A 21,391-nucleotide genomic window follows, 5' to 3' on the forward strand; every position below is an offset into this window, starting at 1 on the left:
GCTGCTTAACAAATTGCCCCAAAACTTAATGGCTTTAAATAGTAATGATCACTTATTCCCTTTCACGGTTCCTGTGGGCCAGGAAATCAGACAGGGCACACAGACTCAGCTTTCCTCTGCTCCACAACATCTGAAGCCTCAGCTGGAATACTCAAAGGCTAATGGCTGCTTCATGTGAAGGCTTCTTCACTCCCATGTCTGGCAGGTGATGGTGATTTTTGATTGGGGACCTAACTAGGGCTGCTGACTGAAACAACTACAGGTGGCCTCTCTGTGTCACCTGAGATTCCTTACAACATAGTGGTTGGAGTCTAAGGACAAGCATCAAGATAGCTTAATAGATGATAGATAGATAGAGAGAGAGAGACAGAGAGACATACTACACAGGAGTTGTTTTGCCTTTTATGATCTAGCCTCAGAAATCAAGCAGCCTTACCTCTGCCAGATTCTTATGGTCAAGGAAATTACAAAGATCCAAAAGGTGGAAATAGAAACTCCATCTTTCACTGGAGGCATGTGGATGCCACACTGTAAGAAGAGCATGGGAGGAGCTATATATTGGTGCAGCCATCTTCGGAAAATGCAATTTGCTAACCTATCAATAATATGAAATAATAAAATTATACTTTTATTATTTAAAATCATAGAAAGTAGAAGGTTCTAGAGGATTTTTATTCTCCACCTCTTCAAGCAATTTAACCCCCTGAATGAAAAATAGAGTCTAAGAGAAATAGATTATCTGAATGGAACCATTCACCTGGTTATTCCAGTGTCAAGAGTTAAACCCAGGTTTGCTGAATCTCAATTTTATAGTGATTTACCTTATAAATATGCTATAAAATATGTCTGAGTTTGTTCGTTGATTTTAAAAAGGGCTCAATGTATTTTAAACTATCCATTTGTATAAAAAACACAATCCTTATATGAGAAATCTGAATTATTAAAACTAATATTAGAGGAGGATATTCCCCAGCTGGGAGTTTTAAAGATGTAGGTGTGATCTACAACCATCTGATCTTCAACAAGGTCGACAAAAGCAAACAATGGGGAAAGGATTCCCTATTCTGTAAGTGGTACTGGGATAACTAGCTAGCCATATGCAGAAGAATAACACTGGACCCTTATCTCTCACCACATACAAAAATTAACTCCAGATGTTTTAAATATTTAAATGTAAGACCTCAAAGTATAAAAATCCTAGAAGAAAACCTAGGAAATAACCTTCTCACGATTGGCCTTGGCAAATAAATTTTTGGTTAAGATTCCAAAAGCAATTGCAACAAAAACAAAAATTGACAAGTGGAACCTAATTGAACTAAAAAGCTTCTGCACAGCAAAGGAAGCTATCAACAGAGTAAACAGATGACCTACAGAATGGGAGAAAATACTCACGAATTATGCATCTGACAAAAGTCTAACTTAGAGGAATTAAATCAAGCTAAAAACAACCTTATTAAAAAATACACAAAGGATATGAAAAGACTCTTCTCAAAAGAAGACATACAAGTGGCCAAGAAACATACAAAAAATGCTCAACATCACTAATCATCAGAGAAACGCAAATCAAAACCACAATAAGATACCATCTTGCACCAGTCAGAATGGCTATTATTTAAAAGTCAAAAACAACAGATGTTGATGAGGTTGAGAGAAAAGGAAATGCTTATGCACTGTTGGTAGAAATGTAAATTAGTTCATTTTACTAATGAAATGTAAAACAGTTTGGAGATCTCTCAAAGAACTTAAAACATATTTACCATTTGGCCCAGCAATTCCATTACTGGGTATGTACCCAAAGGAAAATAGATTATTATACCAAAAGGCACATGTACTTATATGTTCATTGCGGCACTATTCACAATAGCAAAGACATGGAATCAACCTAGGTGCCCATCAGTGGTGGACTGGATAAAGAAAATGTGGTACATATACACCATGTATATGTACCACATATACTACATAGCCATAAACAAGAATGAAATATGTCTTTATTATTAATGCAGGAAGAGAAAACCAAATACCACCTGTTCTTACTTATAAGTGGGAGCTAAACATTGAGCACACACAGGCATAAATATGGGAACAACAGACACTGTGGACTACTGGAGAAGGGAGGTGGGGAGGTGGGTGCGGGTTGAAAAACTACCTATTCGGTACTGTGCTCACTACCTAGGTGCAATATACAAAGGTAGCAAACTTGCACATGTACCCCTTGTTTCTAAAATAAAAGTTGAAATTTAAAATAAATAAATTAAAAATCCAGACTTAACTTGAAAAAAAAAAAGTTGGTGTGTCTGACAAACAGCCTAGCTTGTGATCTCCCTGACATCTACTTGTATGAGCTGGATGTATAGGTCAGTTTCAGCAAGACTGAGGAGTGGAGAGGACAGTATAGTGTCTGTTCCTCAACCCTGTTCCATGCAGTTTCTTGTTTGGGTTGTAGGGAACCAGAGGGCTGAAGCAAAAGCTGCTCCAAAAGGAACTTGTGAGACCACAGAGTAAGCTGAGCTGCCCTGGGTCCCAGGTGACTCAAATGCAACTGGGATTTGGAGAGGGGCAGTCCTCGTTTCATGCACAGAAACAGGAGAGAACACATTGCTGCTTGACATATTGAGATTGTGCAGGTTTGGGGTCAGTAACAATCTTCTATGCAGAGAAACAGCATTTTCAAAGAAGTCACTGCAGCGTGATAATATCCAGTTACTTCTCTTTCTGTCTCTCTTATTTTTATTTTTTTGAGACAGGGTCTCACTCTGTTGCCCAGGCTGGAGTGCAATGGTGGGATCACAGCTTACTGCAGACTTGACCTCTTGGGTTTAAGCAATCCTTCCATCTCGGCCTCCAGAGTAGCTGAGACTACAGGCATGAACCACCATGACTGGGTAATTTTTGTACTTTTTGTAGAGATGGGGTTTTGCCGTATTGCCCAGGCTAATCTTGAACTTCTGGGCTTAAGTGATCCACCCACCGCGGCCTCCCAAAGTGTTGGGATTACAGGTGTGAGCCACTGTGCCTGGCACAGTTACTTTTCTCTAGTGGGTTTTGAACGGTGGATAGATACAAGGGGTCGGAACAGAAGATAGTGGAGGACTGTTACTGTCCATGTTTACACAGCCCCTGAGGAATCCTTGCAAAACTATAATGAATTATTGTGAGAGAGCAGGGGTTAGGGGGATGATGTTTAAATCCTGTAGTTATGTTGTGAAGAGTGACAATAAAATTGAGTATAAATGCTTATGTAGCCTCAGTTGAACCTGCTGGCAGATACAGCCTGTGAATATTTGGATCGCGCTAATAAATTATAGTTAACATTTAATTAGCAATGATTTTATTTGACTTAGAATTCTGAAGGGTATTTGAAAGAATCATTTGGGTAAGTTTTGTCTAAAAATACCTAAACTGTTACCTTTTCCTCCTTTCATTCTGAGTCAAGCTGAAGCATTATAAAATTACCCAATTTATTACCCTTTACAAAAACATTTACTGAAGAATCTATTTGAAATCATTCTTATAGATTTCTTTTGTTGCTGTTGTTGTAATTTAGAGATCCTCAGCCTCTGTAATCTGGATGTCTTGTTTACTGTCTCAGTCTTTGCTGTTCCCAGAATCCTAATTTTCCCTAAGTTCCAAGTCTCCTCATGCCACCTAAAATCCAGAGGGGTTTGGAAATTTACAAAAATCACAAAAGCGATGTTAGGATGGTTTATGGAAGTGGAGACAGGGTTGCGTAGGTGGTTGGAGGGTGGATAATGTGTTATCCAAAGCTTAGGCTCAAACCCCAGCTCTGCCACTGACCAACTATGCATGCAAATTTGGGCCTTAGTTTCCTGATCTGCAAAATGAGGACTTTAGACACACACACACACACACACACACACACACACACACACACACCTCTAATAGCTTTGTTGCTAGGATTAAATGATCTAATACATAAAAAGGTGTGGCTCTCATTGCAGGAACTTTCCTTATTTAGGTCATGGAAGAGTTATGCACCAAGTTTTTTCAAAAAGTGCTAACTGGATAAAGCGATCTCCACCCAACACCTCCCTTAATCCCTGCTTACATGATACTCCTCTACATGAGCTGGTTTGTTTCTAAAGGTCATTCTCAAGAAGTGGAGCATAGATGTTAATTGGACAGTTTTGAATGTGCAGAGAGGTTTTAAAAAAAAAGCTTTGAAAAGTAAAAATAGCGTTTATTTATTACTGAAACATTTTAGGCATAAAAGTGAATGTAAACCTGCTTCATTTCCTCTGCGCTTAGAAAATTTGCCCCTAAGTCCTTTATAGCAAAAATGAGCAGAAGTGACTCCTTGCTGGTGATGCAGAGGTCTCATATTTTTAGCCCTAGAAAGTCAGTGAAGAGAGTTGGACTGTGAGAGCAGCGTTTCAAAGCTCAGCTCTACTTTTTTGGCCTACAAACATCCCATCGAAACTCAGTATGACAGCTAGTGCTCTGACAGCTGGTGAATAGGGATTTTAAAAAAAGAAAGAGAAAAAAATCTACTATGTGAGAGGGATAATCACCTGGAAGGTATTACTTGGATCAGTGCTATAGTGAGTTATAGGAATGGAGGGTGGAAAATAAATAATTGATCTTTGGCACCAAGTTTATGATTAAGGATTTCACAGAAAGAAGGAAGATAGTTAAGACAGTGCAGTTTTCCCTAAATTTTAATTATCCACAAGCCTCCCTTACAATTTTGCCACATCCACACACTTCCTGTATTATTGTTTGCTTAATATGAGTTTTTGAACAGTTACTTTAAAAAATCTTATGTGTATTTATTATTGTTGTTGTTATTTTAATTTAGAGACAGGTTCTCACTCTGTCACCCAGACTGGAGTGCAATGGCATGATCATAGCTTACTGTAGCTTTGAACTCCTGGGCTCAAGCGAGCCTCCTGCCTTAGCCCCCTGAGTAGCTAGAACTACAGGCATACAACACCATGCCTGACTAATTTTCAATTTTTTTGAAGAGATGGAGTCTCGCTATGTCGCCTAGGTGGTCTTGAACTTCTGGCCTCAAGTGATCCTTCTACCTCAGCCTCCCAAAATGCTAGGATTACAGATGTGAGCCGCTGCACCTGGCCTTGTGTGTATTTAAACAGAAAACTTTATTCACTACTGTTAATGAAATGTCAAAATAATGTGTCATAAGTATAAAACATAAATATAATAAAAATAAAATAATGTTATTAAATTATAGCTAGATATTGTAGTCTACAGAAGATTATGACCTTGAGGCCTGCTATCTTTTTGTTAAAAATGGATTTTGGCAAGTGTTAAAGGGATGTTAACTCACTCCAAACTGACACCTTCTCTTTGAGGCTGTTGGACAAATGGAAGGGGAAATAGCTTTCTCATTATGGGATTGATCCAGCAATATTTATTGAGTCAATGTTATTTAATGTCATGTTACGAACACGTAGAAATGCTGTTTATCTCTACTTGTCCAACATTTTGGGAATAGTGTACTGGTTAAGAGGGTGGTATGAGTGTTGGACAGACATGAATTTAAATCCCAGCTTTGTCACTTAACGACGAAGCTACCTTAAGATGGTCATTTTACTGCTATCCTTTCTTCATTTTTATTTAGAAAATATTTAGCACATTGAATAAATTTTGTTGCAATCATGATGTTAATAATGTGAATACTGATGTGCAAGATGGGCTGAGGAGGCTTGGCTGTATACATAAATTGCCCTTTTATTAAGGTTTTGTCTATAGGTTGTCAAGCAAATACATTTTAACTTAATTTAGCTTATTTGTTTTAAAAACCCAGTCATATTATTTGTCCTTCTAGCATTCTAGTCCTCCTTCTCGAAATCTGAGTATGGCTTTTCTATCTTTTTGTGGCTTCTTCTTCTGCTGTTTACTGCGGTTGTTCCTTAGGCTGCATCTTTGCGCCTCTTCTCTGTTTTTACACAACTCCTCAGAAGCCTATTCATTTTTAAAGCTTTAGCAATGTCTTATAAAGTGACTTCTAAAATCATTATCTCCAAATCTGCCCTTACCTCTTCCCAGCCCACATCTCTATTTGATAATTGCCATGTCTTGTCACTTTAGATTCAGATTTAAAATCAGCACATTCATTTCATCCTCTGTTCCTTGCCGATGATTCCGTCATATTTCCAGTTCCTTATGAATATAGGAGCTAAGTGCATGCGTTTTGGAGTCAGAATATTCTGGAGTCCTGTTTCTACATTTTACCAATTTTAACAGAAAATTACGCATCAACAAGATGCCATTAAACATATGAGATCAAAACTTCCTCATACTTCAAGAGAAGTGGAGAGTGGCAGAAATAGTCTGTAAAGAAATAGAGCTAACATATTTTTTAACCTTGAATTTCATTACTTTATTGACCACTCTAAAGGAAAGTGTTAACATTAGTTGAAAAAAGGTGAATAATAAAGCGTATATATTTTTTCTTTTACATAGTTTCTCATGAAGTGTTAGTTCTAAAATTAATTCAAAATAGTTAGATAAGAGTCCTTTCAGTGTGCTGAAAAGTGGCTTTGTACTAAAGACCAGGGATAAGTGACAGTGGTTGAGCTCTTCAGGAGATCTGAAGAGGGGACTGCATGTTAGGCCAAGTGTTAATGGTAAGCTTCAGAGAGAGTGAGAGATTTGTAGCATATTTAGACTATGGTAATTTTGAGTGTGAGACATAAAGTCACCTGTCCAAATCCAAAGAATGGACTTAGAGAACTGGAGAACAGTGAAAGTGAGACTTTTAATGATAGTCTTGCAAGATTGAGTGTCTGATGAGCAGGCACACCCAGCACAGTTTTAACAAGCAATTTATCCCCTAGTGCACAGGTCCTTCCCCCGGTTCCTCATTGGCTGAGTACTATGGGGTCACAGTTTTCCTGGACATTGCATATTGATTGTTGGGTAGGGGCTTTAGGTGTTTTTTTTTTTTTTTTTTTTTTTAGGGTTGTCTTGCTGCATTTTATTGCAGCCCACAATGCATTGCAATCTAGTTAGCTCAGAGGCTCTTCAAGTATTTGACTTAAGACTTAAGTAGCTGGGTAGGCTGATAAGAACAGAAAAAACGAGCTATTTTGCAGGCTAGTAAACTTTCATCTTAGACTAAACTTCTTTGATTCAGGTGAGGGCAACTAAGTAGGGGCGGGGAAGGGGGGAGGGTAGGCCAACAAGCAGGCATCAGCTATCCAAACAGGAGCTTAGTACATCCTGTTTCTTCTGTAGTTTGTTGGCCTAAGCCGACTTAAGGCACTTTGTCTTGGAAATGGACCACTGTATATATTATTTCCCTCATGAGGAAGGTGAGAAAATATGGGACGTAATCTTGCAAATTTCATTAACTGTGAAAATTACACCAAAAGTTTACAAAGTTTTTTGGGGGGTCATTTTCCACTTCTCTTTAAAAAACAGACGTTCCTGCACACTGTATCATGCTGTAAACACAAAATAGATGTAGTCTTTCTTTGTCCTAAATAGCTAAAATGGTAAGTTTAATGGCTTTAATATGGCAAAGTTTAGTGCTTGAAATGAATTAACTAAAATATATACAGCTGTATCTTGTGATGTGAAAGCAAAAGAGGCCAATTCCTCTTGTATATACTTATGAAAAGTCACATGGTAAAACTGTTGGAAAGTGACTGATTTTTACTGAAATCAAAGTGAGTATGGGAATCTAAAATGTATCCAGAAGATACATTAAATTGTGATGTTTCATTTTATAAGTGAGTGCAACTAGCATTCTTTTAAATTATAGGTTCTTCAGGTGATTTCAAATATAATAGGGCCCTCTGGCACTGGCTCATCTGTCATTCATAGGTTATTTTAGTATTCCGTAGGATGCAAATGGCTTACAGTCACAAGATGTAATTTGCCTCAGAGGGCCAGGCACTCTTATCATCTCACTTTTTATTGTAGCTTCTATTCTTACTTACCCATATTCTTTTACCCTTTTCAGTCTGAGAAACTTTTCCTTTACTAAAATGATAAGAGGCGAAACAGAGGAGAATGGATTTTCAGTCTCTCTCTTCTGTTAATTTACCACAGACTCGAAATAGATTTCATTCCTCGTTTTTGTTTTCTTGGACCTAACAATTTTTTTTTCTACCCTTAGGGTTTCCCCCAACTTCAGCTCATTGTAGACTTTCTATTTTCTGTAAATCAATGATTTATCTAATTAAAAATGGAAATTCATTTTATCTAGTTAGCTATTACCATTTTTCATGGCACTAAATTATCTATACAGAACATAATTCCAATTTAAAATTTTGATGTGAAATTAGTGTAATCCACGCTTCTTTTTATTTTGGAAAATTTCAAACCTAGAGAAAAAAAATAAACATGTGGACCCTCCTCCAACTGATTCACCCATTTTTAATATTTTGCCATATTTACCTCCTTTCTCTTTTTTCCTTTTTTTTTTTGAGACGGAGGCCCGCTCTGTCGCCAGGCTGGAGTGCAGTGGCGCGATCTGGGCTCACTGCAACTTCCGCCGCCTGGGTTCAAGCGACTCTCCTGCCTCAGCCTCCTTTCTCTTTCTTACCTATATACATGTATCAATGTTTATATGTTTTATATATTTTACAAATGTATTTCTCTTACTCATTTGCAAATAACTTGTAGATCCAATTCTTCTTCATCCATAAATGTTTTGACATAAAATTCTCAATTTAAGGACAATAACATTATCACATTTAAGAAAACCATATTCCATTATACTATCCAATATCCAGTCCAGATTCAAATTTCTGCAATTGGCCACCAGTAATTATTTTTTTCATTTATTTTTTAGATCCAGGATTGAATTTTGTTTTCATGTCTCTTGCATCTCTTAAATCTGAAATAATATTTTTTTTTTTTTTGAGACAGAGTCTCGCTCTGTCGCCTAGGCTGGAGTGCAATGGCGCGATCTCGGCTCACTGCCAGCTCGGCCTCCGGGGTTCCCGCCATTCTCCTGCCTCAGCCTCCGGAGTAACTGGGACTACAGGAGCCTGCCACCGCGCCCGGCTAATTTTTTTTTTTTTTGGTATTTTTAGTGGAGTCGGGGTTTCACCGTGTTAGCCAGGATGGTTTCGATCTCCCGATCTCGTGATCCGCCCGCCTTGGCCTCCCAAAGTGCTGGGATTACAGGCGTGAGCCCCTGCGCCCAGCCTTCTTTTTTTTTTTCTAAAGAATTATTTCTGGCCGGGCGAGGTGGCTCACGCCTGTGATCCCAGCACTTTGGGAGGCGAGGCGTGCGGATCACGAGGTCACAAGATCCAGACCATCCTGGCAAACACGGTGAAACCCGGTCTTTACTAAAAATACAAAAAATTAGCCAGGCGCGGTAGCAGGCTCCTGTAGTCCCAGCTACTCGGGAAGCTGAGGCAGGAGAATCGCTTGAACCGGGAGGCCGAGGTTGCAGTGAGCCGAGATCGTGCCACTGCACTCCAGCCTGGGCGGCAGAGCGAGACTCCCGTCTCAAAAAAAAAAAAGTCTTAAATTACATTTTAACAGTCTAGGCCAGAGGAGAATATGCCTCATTGTGGATTTATGTGCCTGCGTCTTCATGTTTAACTTGCTCAAATATCACCTATACGTCCTTTACATTTCTTCTTACATCTAGACCTTAGCATTACTGACATTCTGGGCCACATCATTCTTTGGAGTTCAGCGATGTCCTGTGCTTTGTAGGATATTTAGCAGCATTCCTGCTGCATCCCATGAGATGCATAACAACACTCCTACCTCCTCAGATTGTGACAACCTAGACATTGCTAAATGGATTTGGGGGTGTGGGGGTTGGTTTAGGATCCACTGTCCACAAGCTTGGTTAAACTCAGGTTAAACCATTTTGGCAAGAATACTTCTTAAGTGATGTGTATGTCTAGTTGCATTACATCAGTAAGCAGAATACATTAGATTGTCCCATTATTAGTGATTCTAGCTTTGATCTCTTAAGGCAGTGATTTTTTTTTTTAAAAGGTAAAGCTACATTTTCCCTTCTGTAATAAGTAAGTTATGGCTTGAAACTTTGAGACCATGTGAAGATCCTGTACTCCTAGTCTTTTACCCTGTGGCTTTTAGTATCGTCTGATAAATTTTCCTCTATCAATTGTGGTTGACTTGGAAAACTGTGATTTTTCTAATTCTATCATTTGTTCTACATTTACTATCTTGTATTGCTCTGAAAGAAAAGATTTTGTCCTCCTTCATTTTTGGTGGCACTCCGAAGAAATTCAATGTGTTTCATCAATTATTGTCACCATTTTTTGGATGCTCATGTTGTCCCACATTTCTCCAGTAAAAAACCCATTCTTTAAGAGAATTTAGTGTTTTGTGGAGTACTTTATTATTGTAAGGACCATGCAGTGGTAAATCCTTACTGAATCACACGACATGTGAGAACAAATGACTTTATAACCAGTGAGAAATTCTGATGATTGGTACAACATATTTTCATAGTTAACAGGTTACACTAACTGAAAAATGTAAATAATTGGTAACAGAAAATTCTAACCGCCAATAAAAATTATTGGCAATTTATTTTTGAGTCATCTATTTACCTTTAAAATGGCATATCTATTCCTGGCTCCTGTATATGATGGCCGATGACTATAAATTGAAATATACCTGTAGCATACGTATGACTTAAACACTGCATACTACTGCACATTGCAGCGAACAGGATGGAGCTACTTGTGATCTAAAATTATCTAAACAATATACTTGGGAGCAAATCTCAATAGCATTCCATCTAACGAAAGCATCGCGATTTTATAACTATGACTTTTGGGAAGACCAAACGGAATACCCCAGCTGAAATGAGAAAAATCTGTATTAAGGAATTTTAGCTCCACCCAGGGCAATTATCCCCTTCCTTCCGTAACTGCCAATTTCCTCCCCAATCCCAAGAGCGCCTCTGCCCAGTTCCGCAGTCTCTGCTCCAAGTCTGTTTTTGATGATGCCCTTAGAAGCAGGGGCAGCGGCAAGCGGCGGAGATAGGGATTAAGTTCCTAACAGTCTTCTTCCCCTGACCTGGCAGATGGGGACGCTGCCCCTTAGAAGCCTTTTTCCCCGCAATACGGGACGCCGCAGAGGTGAAAGACCAAGAAGGTGGAGCAAACTTTTAGGGAGCGCCTCTTGGGCCCGCGTACCCTTCCGCCTGTTCCTCTCTGATTGGCCAGCGTGAGTCACGGACGCCCAATCGCGCGGTAGCGTCCGCCGTGCCGCTGGGCGACGGCGGCGCGCATGCCCACTCAGGGACCCACCCTGCGCCCCAGCCCTCTACAGCGCGGGCGAAGGGCATCGGCGGGGAAGCGGCTGTGGTTGCCAGATCTGGCAGTACAGAGCCAAGGTGGCAGGGCCGCGCTAGGACACGGATGGTCCCAGGGGGAGGGCAACAGGAAAAACAAGCACTGACACAACTGCCCCATTTCCCCATGTCCCCTAAAAGCAGGTTTTCTTGGGCTGACCAGGGCATTTTCACTGTGGTGTCCGACTGGGGCAACTCGATCTGCCCGCGGGGACTCAAAAAAGCTTGAGCTGCATTTTTTCTTTGCGTCCGGGCGGACCAAAAGGCGAGGTGAAGGGAACGAGTGTTTATAAGAAAGTAAACTTTTGTGCAGAATGGGCTGGGGACACCTCTGAGTTTTGCTGCCCGCAACGTGACCTTTTTAGCGCGGTCCTGGACGCGTTCCCTCGCAGCCAACCCGTCAGTCTCCTCAGGCCTTATCCTGCCCTCTCTGAGGTGGCCGCCTGTGGGCGCTGCAAACGCCACACTTTTGCTCTACGAAGAACCTCCTCGCGACTTTCCAAGGTGTGCAACTCAGAAAAGCGCCCCCCAAAACAAGTAAAAGCCTTCGGGGAAGAGGCAAAGTCCCTGAACCGTCCTGACTCCAGCCACCAGCCGGTGTTTGGTGGATCAGGTCCCGGAGCTCCGCAGCCTGGGAGCCCCACACCAGGCCGGCCCCTACGGCCGCTCAGAAAACGCGGCGAGCGGAACCCGCACGCGGAAGCGCCGGCCGCACTGAGCATGCCCAGTTGCAGAGCCGACCAGAGGAGTTTTTTCTTTTCTTTTCTTTTTTTTTTTTTAAGGGGGGGGGTCTCAAGTAGGAGGCCTCCCCATCACCCCCACCCCAGCCCCCCACCACCCCCGGCCTAAGCAGCTACCATGGCCCAGGTGGCCGGCGCGGCGTTGTCCCAGGCGGGTTGGTAAGTGGCGAGTCCCGCCGGCTGCCGGGCCGCGGGTGCGGGCCGGGGCCCCAGGGAGGTTGGGTTGGGGGCGGCGGGGTGCGTGTCGGGGTAGGCGGAGGCTGTCGTCCGCCCCCGGCCTCTCCCCGGGCCCTTCGGGCCGGCTCCGCCCCCGGCGCCACGCGGAGCCCTGCGAGTTCCCCTAGGTCCCCTGGAGGCGGCGGCGGCGGCGGCCTGGGCCCCGGGCGGCGGGCCTGGGCCCCGGGCGGCGGGCGGCGGGCCTGGGGAGAGGCCGGGGGCCGCGAGCCGGGCGGGTGGCGGCCCAGACCCCGGCCGACCGGAGCGCCGGGGAGGACCTGCAGCGCCGTCCGCGCGGCTTCTCCGGGGAGGGGGTGTTTCTGCAGCGGGATCGGGAGGCGAGGGCTGGGAACGAAGTGCGGCGGAGAGGGACGAACGCGGCCGGAGCCCGCGGGCCCATAGGAAGTTGAGGGCAGAGCAGAGCACAGCCCGCGCTGCGGCCGGAGCCGCCTCTTCTTACCCCTTATTTCAAAGTACAGTGTGGACCAGTGTGAATCTGCCTTCCGCGGCACACACACAACTTCTGGAGCTAAGAATGACCGCAATGTCAACTCGTGGGGGTGCTCGGTAGAACTTTTCTTGAAAGGATGGTGTTCTGATTTTAAGAGGCCTTTCGTGTCAAGATTTTCAGGATTTGAAAACAATACAAAATTATGCGAAATTAGGCAGTTTCTGGAATTGCGGCCATTACGGTTGTAATCATCCCGTTTAATTCAGTAACGCTTTTCCCAGGCTTGCACAGGCACATTCTGGGATGAAGGGTAGGAACGGGGATGAAAAAGATTTGCAACGGCTCTCTGCAATTACTGCTTTAGGAGAAAGAGTGAGGCATTAAAAGACCAAACAAAACCAGGGGGAATAGTGATAAACCGTACGTACAGAGGAACAGATGAGTGCACTGTGGAATGGGAGGGAGAGTTACTTTCCTAAAGTGGACTTGGAAAGATGGTAAGGAAAAGGCTTTCTAGCACAGAGCTGCTGGAGATGACACAGGGAAGCGCTTATTGTTTTGCAGAACCTACACAAGATCTATATGGTTCGTGAAAGATGTGGATTTGATTTTGTGAATAAAGTTTTTGATCAGTAGAGGGATATAATCACAACTGTGCTTTGAAGAAGCCCCTCCTGATTTTAAAGGCACTTGTGTTATTATACACCCCATTTTACAGGTGAGGAGACTGAGGCAAAGAGCTGTTAAGTAACTTTCCCAAAATGACATAGCTAGAAAGTGGTGGAGTTGAATGTTGAGCACAGAGGGCCTGGCTCTGGGCCTGGTTCCTTTAACGCTTATGCGTTATTGTTGTTACAGTTTTTTCGCAGAACAGCATGGGCGTAAAAGATTGTAGAGTTAAAAACACTGTCTTCAGTTTTGTTTCTGTTCAATAGGAATCTCTTCTTTCAGTTTTTTTACCCACAAGGGTGTCCTGAATAATCTTGGATCCCTCTTTCATTTGCCTTTCTCCCCATTTCTCATTAGGTTGAGCGTTGATCCTTCACACTAGTAATATTTTCATTTACAAACTCAGTATTTTACTGCTTTCCAACATGACCCCCCCTCCTTTGGAAAGATTAGTCTCATTTTTTAGGTCCCGAACACGTGTTGACTTTGTTTTCTCTGGCCTCTTATGCTTTTCCAGGGCAGGGAAGTGAGTCTTATTTTTCTCCTTATCTGGATTGTCAAGAAATGCACCAGATTGTAGGTTCTCTGTAAAGTCTAATACAGTTGACCTTGGAATGCCCCTGCCAGTCAGAATTCTCTGGGCAGGGCCTCTGCAGAAGCTTAGGTAGAGTCCCACCCTGCTTCGTTATATTGTTATAAATCTTCAGCAATGTTATATTGTAGCATTTGCTACTTTATATTGCAACTTAACTGTTTATGTTTCTCCCACCTGTCTGTGCTGCTTCTGTATGGCAGTGACTCATAAAGGCAGTAGTAATCTGCGGGGCTAAAAACACTATCTTTCTAGGAATTGTGAGTTTCATGTAATTCCTGCTAGGTCTCGAACAGACTAGGCATGAGGATCTCCTAGGCTTTCAGGTGGCTTCTACTAGGTCTTTAATTGGGGACTTACTATGTTAAAATTTAGAATCACAAAGGTTTAAAGGCAGAAAAGAGCACTGGAGGGAAAATTTCTGACTGAAGGGCTTTCACCAACTCATTTTAGTTCTTATATCCTGAGTTTGCTCTTACACTTGGGGTTCTCTGTTAACTGTCACTGACAAACCATTTTTCTTAGTATTCAAATCTATGTACTTAGTTACTTGTAGAAGCTAAAAAGAAGTAGATGCTAAAACATGGACACACTATTGTTAAATCTGTTCTATAGGCTTCACCTAAAATAGCAGATTAGGGAAATATTTAGTGCTGAAAAGTTTACAATTCTGAAAATGTGATCTTCAGGGGGGTACAGAAGATCTATGTAGACCAATCTGTTCAAGTTTACATTATTTTTAAGCGCAGTTTTTTTCCTTCTTAAGGTTTTAATCTTCATTAGAACCCCTATAAAAATCAGTATTTTAAAATATAACTTCAAAAGTAGCTACCTGGCGGACTTAAAATAATTTTTGTTCTTCAATGGCCAGTAGCACACAAACTATTAGATTTTGCTGATTTGAACTTGAATGTTCCAGGGCTTTCTACAGAGTAGTGATAATGTTTAAATAATGCACTAAATGGTACCTTGTAAAGCTTAATTATATGCATGGAATAACTTCACGGGGAGAAGAAATTTGACTCTGAATTTATCTAGATAACAATTTTACTCACTCTGCATTTTTGTTTTCTCTCTTCAGAGGTTCATTCTCCTTTAGGATGATATCCCTGATCACTGTGAGTGGAAATATAAAATTCTACTCACAGGAGAAAGATTCAAAATGTTGATCTCTGGACATTTTGAATTTTTCTCTTCCATCTCCTCCTTTGTTTGTTTGTTTTTAACAGAAACCTGTCACGGGGTACCTAATCAGTTGTGTTTTTGTTTTTGAAAATGTATCTTCTGGCTGGGCGCAGTGGTGGCTCATGCCTGTAATCCCAGCACTTTGGGAGGCTAAGGCGGGTGGTCAGGAGTTGGAGACCAGCCTGGCAAAAATGGTGAAACCCCGTCTCTACTAAAAATACAAAAAAATTAGCCAGGCGTGGTGGCAGGCCCCTGTAATCCCAGCTACCTGGTGAGGCTGAGGCAGGAGAATCGCTTGAACCCAGGAGGCGGAGGTTGCAGTGAGTCGAGATTGCACCATTGCACTCCATCCTGGGCGACAGAGCGAGACTGTGTCTCAAAAAAAAAAAAAAAAGTGTCTTCCATGGAATTAATGTTGCATAGCTTAACTCTCTCTCTGTGCATATGAAGAAACTGAAGCACAGAGAGTTTCAATAATTTGCTCAGAGTTATAAATGGCAGAACCAAGAATAGAGCCCAGATGTCTAGAATAAAGATTCAGTACTCATTTCCACCAAAAATTAACAGAAGTGACCGCATCTAATTTAAATTATTGATCAAAAGTGACACATTTAAAAATTGAAAATTGGGTTGAAGCATTTTGTGGTGTGTAAATTTACTTTCCTAGTCCAGGAAAGATAAAGGGCTTATTCTGAGGGGTGATCCTATTAGAATCAAATAAATCTTTGCCTTGCAGTGAATCAACTAATTGTGTACTAGGCTTATCTGAAAATCTGGTAAATTCTGTATTTTTTAAGGTTTAAGAATACAGTTGGCCCTCCATATCTGTGGGTTCTGCACCCTTGGATTCAACCAGTCACAGATCTAAAATATTTGGAAAAATAAAAAAAAATAAAAATAACAATACAACAACAAAAATAATATGAATAAAAAATAAAATATAATTTTACATAGCATTTACACTGTATTAGGTATTTTAAGTAGTCTAGAGATGATTTCAGGTATGCAGGAGGATGTGTGTAGGTTATATGCAAATACTACACTACACTATTTTGTGTCAGGGACTTGAGCATCAGTAGACTTTGTTATCTGTAGGGGCCCTGGGACCAATCCCTTATGGATACTGAGGGATGACTGTATCTGAAAAAGTGGGACACTGTATTGTGTGTCTTTGCTTCTTTTACCCAGTAGTTTGAGTTGAAGACCCTTTAAGGTAGCATATGAAATAGCATTTCCATTTTGTTCTGAAAGAACATGTAGTCTTAGGAAGCCCAGTTTTCTAACACCCAGGTGTTAGCCATGGAGTACTCCAGGTTTTGTTTTGTTTGTTTGTTTTGAGGGCAGAGATGGGATGGAGAGGATAAACAAAGGTCTCCTTCTTACCTCTTGAATTTCACTTTCCCCTTTGGGGTTATCTCCATTTGATTATTGGTGCTATCACCATGCTAACATCCTCTGGCCCAAGTGCATACATAACTCCTTTCCCTTCATTTCACCTTTGAACAACTAAGAAAGCCTACAGCTTATTAAGGTCTTTGTCAAAATGTAGAACTGGAAAACAACCATGGGATAAATAGAAAAAAATAAGAAGCATAATGACAGTATAGGTTATAAAGTGATTATTGCACTCTTGTATTCAAGGGCCCACTCTATTCCACATTACTTTGAAGATAGCTACTACAAAGATGTGGAACAACTTCAGGATATTTTGCTGGAATTTCTAATTCCTAGTTTTTGACCTGTCCACAGATGAAGGGCTTCTTTTCACATTCCATTACATAGAGGCTTCTTCTCAAACACATTAATGATCATGACTAAGAAATTCAGATACCCAGCCTGCAGCCACTGCTGTGCCTTTGTTTGTTTGGTTCTAGTTTTCTTAGAGACACACCTTTTTTCCAGGAGATTGCTGGTGAATGATCTCACTCTTCAGATGAGAAACATTGTGTAGCAGCATCAGTACAACCTCTGCAGTAGCAGTAATGTAATTATACCTTCTTATACTAGTGGTAATAGACATAAAATATGAGTTTATGCATATAATAAGAGGGTATTAGAAGTTTTGCTCCCTCACCATTCCAGTACATCTCTTAGAAATAGGTAAATATTTGTAGAGAATATTGGTAGTTCTTTATAAGGTTTAATATTAAGTGCAGGGTTTTTAAAATCTAGAATTATGATATACCTTTAATTACCATGCTTCATGGCCTTTAAAGTAAGTCACATGTACAAGACAGGCAGATATAAATAGCTTGGTATACTCTTTTGGAAAGGATTCGAATCATTAAAACACTTTTTTAGATGCTGAAGAACATTAGAGGAAACCAATTGCTTTTTTTTTTTTTTTTTTTTTTTGAGACGGAGTTTCACTCTTGTTGCCCAGGCTAGAGTGCAATGGCGCGATCTTGGTTCGTCGCAACCTCCACCTCCCAGGTTCTCCTGCCTCAGCCTCCCAAGTAGGTAGGATTACAGGCATGCGCCACCACGCCTGGCTAGCCAATTGCTTTTTAATCAGATTTTAGTGGAGCTTATTGGAGACATCCTTCTATTTTGAAATATTTTCTATTTCTTTAATGAACATTTGTAACTATCTCTTTGGCTTATATTGTTTGTGAAATGAAAATGTTCAAAGGTAATAAGCCTTGCCGACTTTCTGTCTCAAAATATGTTACATATTGCTTTACAGCTTCTGCTGATACTGTAAACTGCGAAAAATGACTGGATGTTTTGTTAAACTGTGCAAGTGTTCAGGTTTCAAGGTGCTGTTTGCAGTGATTTTTTTTTTTTTTCTGGTGACTAACCTATAAATCTAGTTTCAACTGCCTGTAGACTTGACTGCCTTAAGCATAAAGGGGGTATAAAAAGAAACTTGCTACCTCAGCAGGTTGAAAATAATTTTCTCCTTTCATACAGCAGCATTTGCTAAATCAACTAAAATTGCATAGTAACATTTTAAGAACCATAAAAATATGACTATATCAACTTTTTTGGCTTATGTTTTCTCCTTTTGACAAAAGAATATTGGCATTTTGACTTATCATGTTTCAGTTAAGTGCCATCAGTCTAGAAATTCATTCTTTCTGAAAGGTCTAGGATATAGAAGTAGCCGAAGAACAGTATTGCCAGATAAATTTTGGAAGAAGAATACTGAATGCCCAGAAATTTTCATGTAAAAATTTGAGAAACACTTGTGAAGTCATAGCACAGCAAAGAAAAGCAAACAAGATGGGGCAAAAATGTATGGTAATAATGTAAAGTATTAAGAAGGGTGTGAAATCAAAGACACTGATAGCAGAAAAGAAACAGGTTGGTGATGGACAAAAGGAGGAAAGAACTGCATAGACAGAGAGCCTATATGTACCATAGCACTGGAACTCCAATAGGATTCACATCTCTATTGGATGGATGTGAGTGTGTGTATGTACTTTTCACATGTAGTACAATTTTATGGCCTTAAAAGTAGAGACAAATAGCAGTATAGTGCTCTTGAATTATAATATCTTTACAATAATAAGTAAGGCATATACAGAGAAATATGTAACTCTATACAATAATATGTGCACTGAAATACATTTAGTAAATATTTATACCTCCTGTACACAAAGCACTGTGTTGCTGAGCTATGATGTACAAGACAGGCAGAATTTAAACATGATATACACTGTTATTTTACTTGCAAGATTTTGTTGAAACACATCTGAGAGCAGTTAACCCAGACTTGGGAAGGTTGGAAGCCTTTCCAGTACTGATGATGTATAAGCAAGGTTTTTGTATATGTCTTCTTTAAATATCATGTCTTGTGCTCTTTGGCTAAGGAAAAAACAAGGCACTGTATATGTTTTCTTTAAATATTGTGTCTTCTGATATTTGGCTAAGGAAAAAACAAGGCACATTCATCAATGCACTCATTCAACAAATAATTCGTTTTTGTTGTTGTTGTTGGTTTGTTTGCTTTTTTTTTTTTTTTTTGAGACGGAGTCTCGCTCTGTCACCCAGGCTGGAGTGCAGTGGCGGGATCTCGGCTCACTGCAAGCTCCGCCTCCCGGGTTCACGCCATTCTCCTGCCTCAGCCTCCCAAGTAGCTGGGACTACAGGCGCCCGCCACTACGCCCGGCTAATTTTTTGTATTTTTAGTAGAGACGGGGTTTCACCGTTTTAGCCGGGATGGTCTCGATCTCCTGACCTCGTGATCCGCCCGCCTCGGCCTCCCAAAGTGCTGGGATTACAGGCGTGAGCCACCGCGCCCGGCCCTGTTTGCTTTTTGAGACAGAGTCTCACTCTGTTGCCCAGGCTGGAGTGCAGTGGCATGATCTTGGCTCACTGTAACCTCCACCTCCCAGGTTCAAGAGATTCTTCTGCCTCAGCCTCCTGAGTAGCTGGGATTACAGGTGCCCACCACCACACCCAGCTAATTTTTGTATTCTTAGTTGATATGGTTTGGTTCTGCGTCCTCACCCAGATCTCATCTTGTAGCTCCCATAATCCCCACATGTTGTGGGAAGGACCTGGTGGGAGATGATTGAATTATGGGGATGGGTCTTTCCCATGCTGTTCTCGTGATAGTGAATGGGTCTCACAAGATCTGATGGTTTTAAAAATGGGAGGTGCCCTGCACAAGCTCTCTTTTTGCCTGCTGCCATTCACATAAGATGTGGCTTGTCCCTCTTTGCCATCTGCCATGATTGTGAGGCCTCCCCAGCCATGTGGAACTGTTAAGTCCAATAAATGTCTTTCTTTTGTAAATTGCCCGGTCTCAGGTATGTCTTTATCAGCAGCATGAAAAAGGACTATTAGAGACAGGGTTTCACCATGTTGGCCAGGCTGGTCTTGAACTCCTGACCTCAAGTGATCTACCTGTCCCGGCCTCCCAGAGTCCTGGGATTACAGATGTGAGCCACAGTGTCCAGCCTCAACAAATAATTCTTAAACAGCATATTGTGGCAGGCACTTTCTTAGTATAGTCAGATATAGTCTTATAGAAAAAAAACCCATTAATTACATATTCAAACATACTGCATCTATAAAGAATACTAGAGAGGAGAAGAGACATCATTCCAAATGCATGTACTAAGGGGGAATTAGCCTTTTCATGGTGGTCAGAGAATAGCAGAATTACTAAAGGGGAGTTCGTGTTTTCATGGTGGTCAGAGAATGCTATCCTGAGATCTGGAGAATGAGTGGTAACTGACTAAGTGAGGGGAGCACAGCATCTGCAAAAGTCATAGGGCACTAGGGAGCATGGTGAATACAAACATCTGAAGGACCTGGGTGGCTAGAGGGCAAGACAGAGGGACAGTGTAGTGAGATGGAATTAGGAGCTACCTAGGGACAGGTCACATAGCTTGGACCTTGTTGGCCATGTTAGGATTTATTTTTATTTTGAAGGCAATAGGAATCAGTTGAATAGTTTTAATCATGATGTGAGGGTTATGGTGGGAATAACATCATGGTTTTGAAGTATCCTTGGACTGAAGAAAATGGAGCTGGGCAGGACTATGAAATAGATGGTGATGGTTGAGATAGAGAGCAGCAGATCGACTTGACAGATATTTGGAAGGTAAATGGACAGGACTTTTTGACAGATTGGACATGAATGTGACACAGGAGTTGTTAAAGGCTTGATTTCTAGGTTTTGGACTTGTATCCTCAAATCAATTACAATTCAGTTAGGGACTGTTAGAAGACGGTCGCATTTTTGGGGGTTGGGTCATGAGTTAAGTTGGTCATTACTTGAGTGTGAGGTCCCTTTAAGTCATCTAAAATAAGATGTTAGGCATTAGGAAATACCAATCTTGCACTCAGAAGAGAAGACTGGGCTAGAGATAAATTTGGAGTCATTCCAGTATAGGTGGTGATTGAAATGGTGCATGGATAAGATCATCTAAGGCTGCAGCTGTCCGGTATGGTGGACATTAGACAAATATGGCTACTGATCACTTGAAATATGTCTAGTCTAAATTCAGATGTGCTATAAATGTAAAATACGCACTGAATTTGGAAGACAGTACTAAAAATGAGTGTAAGGATCTCAGTAATTTTTATATTGATCATACTTTAAAATATATTTTGTTAAAATAATTATTAAATTAATTTCACCTGTTTTTACTTTTTAAAATATGGCTACAAGACAATTTAAAATTACATATGTGGACATTATATTTGTTGGACAGTACTGATGTAAGAACCAAGCTTTGAGTAAGAGGCTAGGTTCAAGTACTGAGAAATTTTAGCATTTTTAGAGGAGAATTAGC

General features: G+C 41.0%; 1 protein-coding gene across 9 annotated transcripts in view, besides 7 other annotated features; it reads left to right on the top strand.

Annotated features, from left to right (window-relative positions):
* The first annotated feature begins 10,313 nt into the window (after positions 1 to 10,313).
* TDRD3 (tudor domain containing 3) overlaps positions 10,314 to 21,391 on the top strand; it is a 178,347-nt gene continuing 167,269 nt past the window's right edge. For 4 of the 9 annotated variants that reach the window (XM_024449417.2, XM_005266560.3, NM_001146071.1 and 1 more), the window contains exon 1: positions 11,238 to 11,791. Coding sequence is in view for 5 of the 9 variants with exons in the window: in XM_047430685.1 (XP_047286641.1) it covers positions 11,018 to 11,160 (143 nt within the window). In the remaining 4 variants the exon portion in view is untranslated. Of the gene's footprint in view, positions 11,161 to 11,237; positions 11,792 to 12,000; positions 12,187 to 21,391 lie in introns of those variants that run through there. The other 5 variants (XM_005266556.5, XM_047430682.1, NM_001146070.2 and 2 more) reach the window with 2 other exon arrangements.
* Positions 10,923 to 10,992: an enhancer, noted in NCBI's record as "active region_7800". NCBI's record gives its function as "activates an Ori minimal core promoter by ATAC-STARR-seq in GM12878 lymphoblastoid cells {active_cell/tissue: GM12878}" and the evidence as "EXISTENCE:reporter gene assay evidence [ECO:0000049][PMID:35858748]".
* Positions 11,323 to 11,652: an enhancer, noted in NCBI's record as "active region_7801". NCBI's record gives its function as "activates an Ori minimal core promoter by ATAC-STARR-seq in GM12878 lymphoblastoid cells {active_cell/tissue: GM12878}" and the evidence as "EXISTENCE:reporter gene assay evidence [ECO:0000049][PMID:35858748]".
* Positions 11,323 to 11,922: a biological region, named in NCBI's record as "H3K27ac hESC enhancer GRCh37_chr13:60970714-60971226".
* Positions 11,361 to 11,873: an enhancer, noted in NCBI's record as "H3K27ac hESC enhancer chr13:60970714-60971226 (GRCh37/hg19 assembly coordinates)". NCBI's record gives its function as "activates a minimal SCP1, AML or CMV promoter by ChIP-STARR-seq in primed H9 embryonic stem cells {active_cell/tissue: H9 hESC(primed)}" and the evidence as "EXISTENCE:reporter gene assay evidence [ECO:0000049][PMID:30033119]".
* Positions 11,723 to 11,922: an enhancer, noted in NCBI's record as "active region_7802". NCBI's record gives its function as "activates an Ori minimal core promoter by ATAC-STARR-seq in GM12878 lymphoblastoid cells {active_cell/tissue: GM12878}" and the evidence as "EXISTENCE:reporter gene assay evidence [ECO:0000049][PMID:35858748]".
* Positions 12,063 to 12,632: a silencer, noted in NCBI's record as "silent region_5390". NCBI's record gives its function as "represses an Ori minimal core promoter by ATAC-STARR-seq in GM12878 lymphoblastoid cells {active_cell/tissue: GM12878}" and the evidence as "EXISTENCE:reporter gene assay evidence [ECO:0000049][PMID:35858748]".
* Positions 12,803 to 12,852: an enhancer, noted in NCBI's record as "active region_7803". NCBI's record gives its function as "activates an Ori minimal core promoter by ATAC-STARR-seq in GM12878 lymphoblastoid cells {active_cell/tissue: GM12878}" and the evidence as "EXISTENCE:reporter gene assay evidence [ECO:0000049][PMID:35858748]".

This window comes from Homo sapiens, chromosome 13, assembly GCF_000001405.40.
Source record: "Homo sapiens chromosome 13, GRCh38.p14 Primary Assembly".
In the NCBI taxonomy this organism is placed as follows: Eukaryota; Metazoa; Chordata; class Mammalia; order Primates; family Hominidae; genus Homo; species Homo sapiens.